The following is an 11677-nucleotide window of genomic DNA, read 5'->3' on the forward strand; positions in this document are numbered from 1 at the left end:
ATAGGCTAATTGATATAAACAAGAGTTAAGTTCCTACAACACATTTTTGTCACGAAAATATCACCAAACTTCTAAATAAAGACCCAAGACACTTCTAATATTAAACACTGAAATAAATGTGAGCTATATGTATATTTAAGAAAGATCAATAAAAACAAGTAAGATAATTATTTACCCAATTTTTGGTGAATCAATGAGTGATATTGATATAGTGGTGGGGAGTTAAATCAAGGAATAAAAGTTTGCATAGTGAAAATTGTTAGGAGCAACTCCTACCACCAGGCAGTTCAAAAACAACCAATATGGCAGGCTCAGTGAGTACCTTCAGATGGCATCATTTATTGTCATGCATTTGTATGATTACAGTAGACTTTACGCATGTTTATTTTATAATCATTTGCATTCATTTATTCATTCATTGCTTTTCCAGCCCACTTATTCTAGTTCAGGGTCACAGGTGGCCCAAGCATATCCAGATAGCTCAGGGCTCATGGCGGAAACCAGCCCTGGCCAGGCCGCCATCCCAAGCTGGGACCATGTAGACATGCCAATTCACCTAACATGCACATCTTTGGAATGTGGAAGGAAACCAAGCTACCCAGAAAAACTTATGCAGACATGGGGAGAACGTGCAAACTCTGCATGGACAGTGGCTCTTCTGGGAATTGATTTTTTTTTTCCCTCTACCAACATTACAACAAAACGATGTGGACAAAATGATGTTATTTGAGGACCTGTTACATACACATCATGTCAACAGGAAAGAGCTGGAGTCTCTGAAGCTGTAGAAAAGGAAATGGCCTGGGAAATAGAAGCACTGCTAGGGTCTTCAGGAGTTGGGCCTTTTGCAGGGCAGAATGAAGGCGCTGGCCTGTTACAAACCACGCAAAAGAGGATATATGAATGTGGAAAGGAATTCTGCTTAGGGAAACTGTAATAAATCATGTCAGAAATAGCAGCAGTTGGCAAAAGACAAATAGTCACTTTGGGGTATCTTTTTCAATACAGGAGAATAATAATGACTAAATACATCTCTAAAGTATAAAAATATGAAAACTTGAATAGAATATTATATCAAATCTTTTCTGAATTCTGGCTCCCCTATTTGTAAAACCTTGAACCGCAGTTCCTTATCAGTAAAATGGAGATAATAATAATAATTCTTACCTCATAGAAGGTCCCTGGTACATAGTAAGTGCTATGCAAGTGTTAGCTTTCATTATTAAAAAAAAAATGACCTCTTTGGGTGGTCAGGGATATGTGAAACATATTTACTGATTATACAGAAATGGATCACTACACACAGCCATTCAAAAATATGAAATGATATCCAAGAAATATTGTTGCTTAAAAAAAAACCAAGGTGCAGAATAGTGTGTACTGTATGTTTGCATTTTTTAGAAGGATATTTAAATGCATATATGGAGTGGTACTCAAGAAACTGTTATGACCTGAGAAGGAGACTGGGAAGTCTGGGCAGTAGATAAGCCTATTTCTCATTGTGTACCTTTTTGTACTGGTTGAATTTTTAAGTCATGCACATGTTTTTTTTAAGTGACAAGAACAAATTCAAAGTTAATAATATATAGAAATTATTATCCCTCAAGTTAGGCATTTTTCCAATATAGTGTTTCACCTATTGAAATAGAAAATTTTCATTAGCCATTTGTAGAGGTGAGCTATTGCTAACAGCATGACCTTTAACAATTCTATGAAATCTGGATAAAGTTATCTGCAGTCAATCATCACATATAACAACTTAAGGTATCATATTATGGTGAAATATTTGTTGGATCTCATTTTAATCCTAATGTTTAATTCAGTAATTTGGTTTATAAATGTATTCGGATTCACTGAAATATATCATAATAGTAACATTTATAATTTGAAGCATGTGACATGTTTTGGCCAATAATAAACTTAGATTTTTAAAATGGTCTAAGCCACCAACAGCTTCTGGTGGCTTTAACATGAATAGTAGGACAAAACTTTCTTTTCTTTCTTTTTTTTTTTTTTTTTTTTTTTTTTTTTTTGAGACACGGTCTGACTGTCACCCAGGCTGGAGTGCAGTGGTGCGATTTTGGCTCACTGCAGCCTTGACCTCCCTGGGCTCAGGTGATCCTTCCACCTCAGCCTCCTGAGAAGCTGAGACTACAGGCACTTGCCACCACACCCAGCTAATTTTTGTATTTTTAGTGGAGATGGGGTTTCACCATGTTGCCTAGACTGGTCTCGAACTCCTGGGCTCAAAGCCATCCACCTATCTCGGCGTCCCAAAGTGCTGGCATTATAGGCATGAGCCACCACACCCAGCCCCAACACTTTCTTATTTATTAAAATTATATGTATTTGTTTTAGAATATTTGGAAATGATAGAAATAACAAAACTGGCCTCCCCATAAGAATCCTACCTTGTACACTTCTGTGAATGTTTTTTTAAAAGCATTTTTCCTTTTATTTTTTATAAATTACATAAGGGGATACTGGGAAGATGGTGACTGGAATATTTTTTGGTATACTTCCACACCCAGTTCCAGTCTAGGTGCTTTTCTTAAACCCAATTCAGAAAACAAGAGTATAGGTAAGCTGTGAAGCCCTGGGGCTGGGAGGGCAGAGGAGAACCAGAAAGCCACGGATCCAGGGGAGACTTTGGCCGTCTCAGGGAGAAAGTACAGGCTCAGCACAAGTATACTCAGTCTCCTTGGCCTCCAAAAAGTCAAGAAGGAGTTTAATGGGTTCGCTGAGTCTTCCCTGCTGTTGAGGCTGGGAGATCTTTGAGAGGCCAGATAACAGGGTGGCTTCCTTCAGTTGCTGCAAAAGGGCAATGGCTTTCTGCCTGCTCCTCCACTTGCCACCTTGACATGATCTTTGCCTTGCATCCTGCAAGACCACTGCCATACAGAGTTCTCTAGCAACCAGAAGTGAACCAACTGAGCCAAAAGGAAAAATAACATCCTATTTAAATAGGGTCAGGAGCCAGAGGAGCTGACCCAGCAGAACAATCACTGAAATAGAACTTCTGGGAGAAGAAAAAGGAAACCTTGAATTCAAAAATAATAAGAGCACCCAAAGAAATAAAAGTGTTGCACAAAAGAGGCTCTCTGGAGCTAAGAAAAAATTCCAAATAAATAATTTAGTAGAGGAACTGGGGGAGGAGATGCTATGCTCACTGTTGAAATCTGAAATAGTTGTCTAGAAATCAGGACCAAGACATTTCTTGAAGTACAGAGTAAAAATATAAAAAGATGGAAATCTGGGGGAGATACTTAGGAAATATGTCCAGGAGGCCTAACATGTGAGTAATAGTAGTTCCAGAAGAAGAAAAAAGGAAGCCAATAATAAATAGTCAAGACAGTTTCCATAAGACGAAGAAAAAGGCTGGGAGTGGTGGCTCATGCCTATAATCCCAGCACATTGGGAGGCCAAGGCAGGCATATGGCTTGAGCCCAGGAGTTCAAGACCAGCCTAGGCAACATAGTGAGAAGCTGTCTCTACAAAACATACAAAAATTAACCAGGCATCATGGTGCACACCTGTAGTCCCAACTATTCAGGAGGCTGAGGCAGGAGGATTGCTTGAGCCCTGGAAATGGAGGTTGCAGTGAGCTGAGATTTGGCCATTGCATTGCAGCCTGGACGACAGAGAGAGACCTTGTCTCAAAAAAAAAAAAAAAGAAAGAAAAAGTGCTTGCAGATGGTAATATCTCACCAAGTTCCAGACTGGAGACACGAAGAGAAACATACTTAGTATATAATGATAAAATTCCTGTTGCCAATTATTAATAGAAAATGTTGTAAGACTTCAGGCGGAAAGAACAAGTCCTAGATAGGAAAACATTTCAGATTTGGTTATCGGTTCTCTAGTACCACCCAGGCAGCCAGAAGACAATGGAGTAGCATCTATTGACAGTTACGTTACTTCTTCAGTGCCTTAGATATATTAATTATACCAATTTATTTGTTCCTCACAGTAACCCTGTGAGGTAGGTTCATTTTTATCTACACTTGACCAGTGAGGAGACTGAGGCACAGAGATGTTATGTAAATGTCCGAGGTCTCACAGCTAGAAAATGACAGAGCCAGGACTCGATGAAACTGATCTGGCTCCGGAGATCCCATACTACATCATCATTCAGCCTCTTAAATGGGGTATCACATTTGAGGAAGACACTTTGGAAAAAAGTCTAACAAACAACAGAAGAACCAGAAGACAGAAGAAATAAAGTGAGCAATGAACTCAAACTGTGGTGTGTGTTCTTTCCCCGCTTGTCCCCTTCTCTTCCTCAGCAGATTTTACCATTGTGGAAAAGTGTTCATTTCATTGACTGACACCCCAGGCGGAAAAGGAAAAGGAAAAGGAAAAAAATCTCAAATTGATTGTTTTAACCTCAAATGATCATAAGAATGTGGAACATTTCTTAGGAAATCAGAGTTTTGTATTATAATTTATACTGAAAAGTTGATGAAAATAAAGCATAGACCTATTTTATCAAGCTCATTTCTCATTCTTTTTGAAGATGTAACGTTTCTTGTAATTTATATTTAACTTACAGAAAAATTTAGATAATGAATGATAAGAGTGAGATAAAGCTTTGTTTCTTTTAAGTTCCCTGCTGGCTGGAAGAGAATAGAGAGCTTGGAAACAGATGCTCACGTATTAGAAATGTGATATATGAAAGAGATGCTATAAAAATCAAGGAAAAGAGCATTATTCTATAAATGATGCCAGGGCAATTCTTCACCCACATGGAAACAAATAAAATTAAATTCTTACCTAACATCATACTAAAAAAATATATTTTAGGTGTATAAAAGACTTCAGTGTGAAAGAACAGCTTTAAAAATTCTAGAAGAAAATTCTTTATGCCCTCAGAATAGTGATTTAGAAAAAAAAAAGACACAAGATATAAAAAACACCATAAAGCAAAAGAAAGCAATCTGCACAGTGAGTACATACATGGGTATTCTTTAATATTACTTCATGTGCATTAAGGACAAGCATTAAGAAGTAAATATATGTGCCATAGATTGAGAGAGATATTTATAGCGCTTATTATTGACTTTCAAAGAAATGATATTGCAAATATATAGAGATACCTACAAAATTAGAAATAAAAGGCCTGGTGTGGTGGCTCATGCCTGTAATCCCAGAACTTTGGGAGGCCGACTGGAGGATCGCTTGCGCCTAGGAGGTTGAGACCAGCCTGGGCAGCACAATGAGACTTCACCTCTATAAAAAATTGAAAAATTAGCTGGGCAGTGGCTTGTGCCTGTGGTCCCAGCTACTCGAAAGGCTTAGGTGGGAGGACCGCTTGAGCCCGGGAAATCAAGGCTGAAGTGAGCTATGATTATGCCACTGCGCTCCAGCCTGCACAACAGAGTGAGACCCTGTCTCCAAAAACAAACAAACAAAAAACTTAATCAACTCAATAGAGAAACAGGTAAAGAGATGAAGAGGCAAAGATGCTTAATCTCCCTGGTAATCAGGAAAAAAGAAATTAAAATCTTTATGCAACATCATTTCATACACATCAGATTGCATGAAATCAGAAAATTTCATAAAAGGATGTGTTGGTGTGGAGGAGAAGAAAGAACTTATACTGCTGGTGAGAGGCTGTACAGGGCGATGATGTGGAATTTAGAGAAAGTGTTGCATGTGCATACAAGAAGATTGGGACAAGACAGTGATGGCAGCATTGTTCATAATACAACTATGGAAAAATATCTAATTGTTAAACAGGGGAATGATTAAGTAAATTTTATGTGATGGAAAATATGAATGAACCATAGTTATATGTGTCAACCTGTGGCTAAATCTCAACGTTATGTTGAGTGAAAAAATGAACATGGGAAAGGCTATATATAAAGTTTTAAAATGTTCCAGACAGTATTGTATATTGCTTATGGATGCTTACATATGTAGCAAAGTCACAACAGCATGTGTGATAATAATGACACACATCAAATTGAGATAGTATTTATCTCTGGGATGGGAAAAAAAATCTGATTAGTGTGTATGTGGAGGTGCCCAGATTATTTTATTTTCTGTTTTATGTTTAAAACTTACGGGAGGTACTTAGATTTTTTTTCTTTTTTTCTTTCTTTCTTTTTTTTTTTTTTGAGAAGGAGTTTTGCTCTTGTCACCCAAGCTAGAATGCAATGGCGCAAACTTGGCTCACTGCAACCTCCACCTCCTGAGTTCAAGTGATTCTCCTGCCCCAGCCTCCCGAGTAGCTGGGATTACAGGCGCCTGCCACCATGCCCAGCTAATTTTTGTATTTTTAGTAGAGACAGAATTTTGCCATGTTAGCCAGGCTGGTCTCGAATTCCTGACCTCAGGTGATCTGTCTGCCTCGGCCTCTCAAAGTGCTGGGATTACAGGCGTGAGCCACTGCTCCTGGCCTGGATATTTCTATTATTCCCTGAATGTTTTGGTGAGCTTGAAATATTTTACATTTAAAACAGAGGGGAAATTTACTATTGTTATTGTTTAAAAACATATGGCAGTAGGCATTTTCCAAAATGATGCATAACAATATAATGAATTTGATTGGATGTTGGATTTTTAGTCATCTTAAAAAAATGATGCCATCTGTTGATTTATTTGCGGTGGAGAAGAATGCCCTATATAAAGAAGTATGTTTTAAAAGTTAATTAATGCAGACAAGGTTTTTTTCCCCAGAAAAATAAAGTATTATTTTACTACAAAGAAAAGTACTGTGATTTACTTAGGTTAAAACTACTTGCAGATAAAATATGCTCTTAGTTTAATAAATTCTTCTTCTTCTTTTTTTTTTTTGAGACAGAGTCTCACACTGTGGCCCAGGCTGGAGTGCAGTGGCATGATCTCGGCTCACTGCAACCCCGCCTCCTGGGTTCAAGCAATTCTCATGCCTCAGCCTCCCGAATAGCTGGGATTACAGGTTCCTGCCACCACCCCGACTAATTTTCATATTTTTAGTAGAGACGGGGGTTTCACTATGTTGGCCAGGCTGGTCCCGAACTCCTGACCTCAGGTGATTCACCCACCTCGGCCTCCCAAAGTGCTGGGATTACAGGCGTGAGCCACTGCGCCTGGCCAGTTTCAATAATTCTTGATAAATACTTGTAGTCTAAGCTAAGTAATGCTTTCCTTCTTCAGAGTTGCAAAGGTACAAATAACCATCTCATACTTTAGTACATGGCTGTTCCTCAGTATTGTTTTCATGTAGCTGCGTGGTTGAATGGGTCATGATAAAAGTAAAAACAAAAGTGAGATCAGAGTTACATAAACAAGATCAGTTTGCTGCCTTCCCCAGGGGTCAAGTCTACCAGATGAAGGTTTAAGTAATAGCCCCTAACCCGCGGAAGATGTTGAAATACTGTTCTTTCTCATTACTGGATTATATCTTTGTTTATGTAGCATTTTTTCAAGATCTATGGACCATTTTGATGTGTTAGACATTTAAGAACTCTGTTTGTTATACAAACCATTAAAACCAAACCAAACCAAAACAAACTAAACCTTTCCTCCAGTGGGAAAATAGGCTTATTTTTAAGGTTTCCTTTTGGTTTTCCTTCTAAAATACTCCTCTCCTTTTTCTCTGTCTGCATCCTAATCTAGGTCCCCATAAGTTTCAGGGTTACATCAGGGTCATTTTGGAAGTTCTCACTTCTTCTAGATTCCTTCTTCCAGCTCCATCCCCCAATTCTAGGCAGCTCTCTACTTAAAGATGTACAGTAGTTGTTCATTGCCAACTGGATGAAATTATTAATCTCAATTTGGACTTTCCATTTCAGGTCAGCTATTCACAGAAACTGGCTTGTGACAAAGTTTTTACTGGTCCACAGTAACATGATAAAGTTAGGGTTGTATAAAGCTAAAATTATTCAAAATTAAAATTCCAATATTATTTTAGCTTTTTGTGATAAAATATTCTTCATAAAATTGAGTTGATAGTTGATGGAAGAATTTTAAAAAAATTTTCCTTGGGAAAAGTGAGTTGGCAACTTTGAGGATTGATTTCTTTCCACTATCCCACCCGTCCCACTTCTCTCCAACACACACACACACACACACACACACTCTCTCTCTCTCTCTCTCTCTCTCTCTCTCTGTCTCTGAAAATGTTTGCTGATCTGGGAAACTTAGTAGAGATTTTGTAAAATTCTTCCTTAACATCCTCATTTATTCCTGTCTGTCTGTCTGTTTTTTCTAATGTCCTCCAGCTACTTCAATACAAATGCTGCACTTCTGGTGACACCCAGATAAAATCTCCTTGCTTTCAGTTACTCTTTAACTAACACCTTGTGCTTCCTCACTCATCTGCTTTAGCACTTATGAGAATATTTGTCAAAATTTCTGGCATTGGTTGTCCCAAGAATTTTTATTTTTCAAATATGTCTTTTCTCTCCAGTTTTAATATCTGTAAAAAGAAGAACTTTTTACATTTTCTTTAATCTTTTACCCTACATAGATTGAAAATACAAAGAAGATTTGGTAAGGACATAGAAACTCTTATAAAATTTTTTTTATCATAGTAGCCCCAAAACATTGTTATATATGGGTATAATGATTTAATATTTATGAATTATAGCAACTCTTCATCATCTATTTCCAGGTTTCTACTTTCCAGGTCCACTGGTGTTTGGTGTACCCATGTGACTAATTTGTCCAAAGAGAGGTGAGTGAAAGTGATGTGTCACTTCCAGATGGAAGCTTTTTGGGCAAGTATGTATTTTCTAGCTCTTTTCTTCTGTGTTATAGAAACTAGGAATATTCCAGTTGGTGACTGACCCCTTAGTTGGGTTCCTAGAGTGAGTTTGATGTGGAGGAGCCCAAAATGACCTGCAGTGAAGTTGGAGTGTGAGCAAGAAATAAACTTTTGTTTTTTAATTTTCTGAGGTTTTGGAAGTTGTAGATTATAACTGCATAACCTATCAATATTGATATGTTTCAATTCTTAATGAAAATTTCTAATATTCTTTTTGATTATTTCTAACTTATTAACTTAAAATGTCAAATATCTATAATTTCAGTATATTCTGTATCCTACATTTAAAAATAAAAAATAGAATGTTGAAAATGAAATCATTTCAATGAGATGACAACTCAAAATCTTATAGTATCATCCAGAAACATGTAGAACAGATTTAAAAATACACAGTACTGAGATTGGCAGGTTGAGAAGAAGACACATATGAAGGGTAACTTCTTTGGAAAGAAGCAGCTATGCACAGTACTTAAGAATGAAATTTCCATGTCCCGTTAATACATCTGAAACAGTTTTACTTTCTATCCCAAACTTTAATGATCCTAGAAAGCTGGTTTGAATCAGTTTTTACAGGGTTGTTTTGGATTTAAAATAACTAAAACTTGAGAGCTGGGAGAAATTTTATTTAACACTTTTTTATCATTCATGGTTTAATGTTTAATGAATAAATTCTTCACTAAGCTTATGTGGTGAGGGTCTGGTGGTGAAAAGTACTTTTTCAACTAGATATATTAGAATGACAACAGCAAAGCAAGAATGTGGTAGGGTCACATAAAGGAGTCGTGATCTGTGGGAAATTATTTTTTATGATTCTCCAAGATGGCTGTACATATAAGCATAAAAGTCAATAAACAAGTGCCTAACCTTTAGCTCTAAATTAACTTTTGAGCGCTTTGAATGCCTGGCACAAAAATATTTAGGGGTTTGGCGCCATCTGGTGGCCAAATATCAACTTTTCAGCTTCTCTTTTATGACTAAGAAGTGAATTACTCTGCACTTTCCAATAAACACTATTAATAAATAAAATTATTTAAAATGTTGATTTCCAGAACTTGAGAAGACAAATCAAAGACAGATTTCTGTTATGTTACCTATTGTTATATGACAGAATTTCAGTCTTGAGTAGGTTCTTTTATACTTGCATTTGATTTATTTATGAAAGCATTATAGACATAAATCTGCTATCTTTTTCTTAATACAAGAGAAGACTCTTTCCCCAAAAGAAATTAGACGTGCTCAATAAAATCTAAATTTATTTTTTCACAATTCTGTAAAAGATTGAGCTAGGGGTGCGTGTGTGTGTGTGAATATCAGAATTTATTTTAAAAATGCAAGAGGGAGAGGGGAAGGAGCTGGTAGTGACATTGTTAATTGTCTGCTTTGCAATAGCAAAGACTTGGAACCAACCCAAATGTCCATCAATGATAGACTGGATTAAGAAAATATGGCACATATACACCATGGAATACTATACAGCCATAAAAAAGGATGAGTTCATGTCTTTTGTAGGGACATGGATGAAGCCGGAAACCATCATTCTGAGAAAACTATCGCAAGGACAGAAAACCAAACACTACATGCTCTCACTCATAGGTGGGAATTGAACAATGAGAACACTTGGACACAGGGTGGGGAACATCACACACCGGGGCCTGTCGTGGGGTGGGGGAAGGTGGGAGGGATAGCATTAGGAGATACACCTAATGTAAATGATGAGTTAATGGGTGCAGCACACCAACATGTGCTGTTGTACACGTGTACACATGTATACATATGTAACAAACCTGCACGTTGTACACATGTACCCTAGAACTTAAAGTATAATAATAATAAAAAAAAATTGTCTGCTTTGTACCCAGGGCTGTTCTAGATGCTTTCAGTGGATGGCCTCAATGAATTTCCGCAACCATCTTTCCAATGGGAAGTGTTGTCCCAGCTTTACTGCTGGACAAGTGTCTAAGAGGTTAAGGACATAAATGCTCAAGTTTTGTGAGAAAGCCGTTTATTTTAACAGAATGATTGCAATTGCTCATATTAAGCTATGACAGAAAAACTGGATTAACACTTTTTTTAGTCTTTTTCTTTTCAGCTTTTCAAGATAAAAGTTTCCTGTGTCTCCTGATTAAAGTGCTTCTGTGATTGTTGCTCTGCATTAAGTTGTATACTTCCTCGTTCTTTCCTTAGAGCTTCTTTTCACAATCCAGGAAGCAACTCGGTGGGGCACAGCATGGGGTAAACAAAATGCCAAGGGAGGGAAGAGTTCATATTGGTGGAATTTTTTAGTTACCTCTCTAGAAACTAGTGGAAACTTCTTTGCTTCTCTTCTTTTTACTGACAATTTAAAAAAATAAATTATTTTATTTTAGATTCTGGGGTACATGTGTCTGTTATATGCGCATGTTTTGTAGTGGTGGGGATTGGGCTTCTAGCGTACCCATTATCCAAATAGTGAGCATTGTACCTGATAGGTAACTTTTTCAATCCTTGCTCCCGTCCTACCCTCCTTCCTTTTGGAGTCCCCAGTGTCTATTCTTTCCATCTTTATGTCCATGTGTACCCATTGTTTAGCTCTCACTTATAAGTCAGAACATGTGGTATTTGGTTTTCTGTTTTCTGAGATCATTCTCTTAGGATAATGGCCTCCAGATCCATCCATGTTGCTGCAAAGGACAAGATTTCATTCTTTATGGCTGCTTTTAAGTCATTTTTTTTTCTTTTGTAGTGACTCACTTTTATCATTGTTAATTAGATTAAGTGGGTCTTTGGTTTAATTCTATTTTTAGGGTAATGTAAACCACAAGATTGCTTGTGTTCTGTGCTACTACACTTTTGTTCACTGCTGTATCTTCAGTGTCCAAGAGAAGCATTATACATATAGGTAGCAGGCACTCAATGGGTTTTAACAGAAAGACACATACACATACA

The 11677-nt window shown here is 37.2% G+C and overlaps 1 long non-coding RNA gene across 1 annotated transcript in view; it reads left to right on the forward strand.

Annotated features, from left to right (window-relative positions):
* The window catches only part of ARRDC3-AS1 (ARRDC3 antisense RNA 1), a 40369-nt gene extending 29763 nt beyond the window's left edge, over positions 1 to 10606 (forward strand). Inside the window, exons 2-3 of the long non-coding RNA NR_027435.1 lie at positions 8600 to 8662; positions 8746 to 10606. This is a non-coding gene — a long non-coding RNA (ARRDC3 antisense RNA 1). The remainder of the gene's footprint in view (positions 1 to 8599; positions 8663 to 8745) is intronic.
* Positions 10607 to 11677: the final 1071 nt, after the last annotated feature.

The sequence above is a fragment of the Homo sapiens genome, chromosome 5, assembly GCF_000001405.40.
Source record: "Homo sapiens chromosome 5, GRCh38.p14 Primary Assembly".
Lineage (NCBI taxonomy): Eukaryota > Metazoa > Chordata > Mammalia > Primates > Hominidae > Homo > Homo sapiens.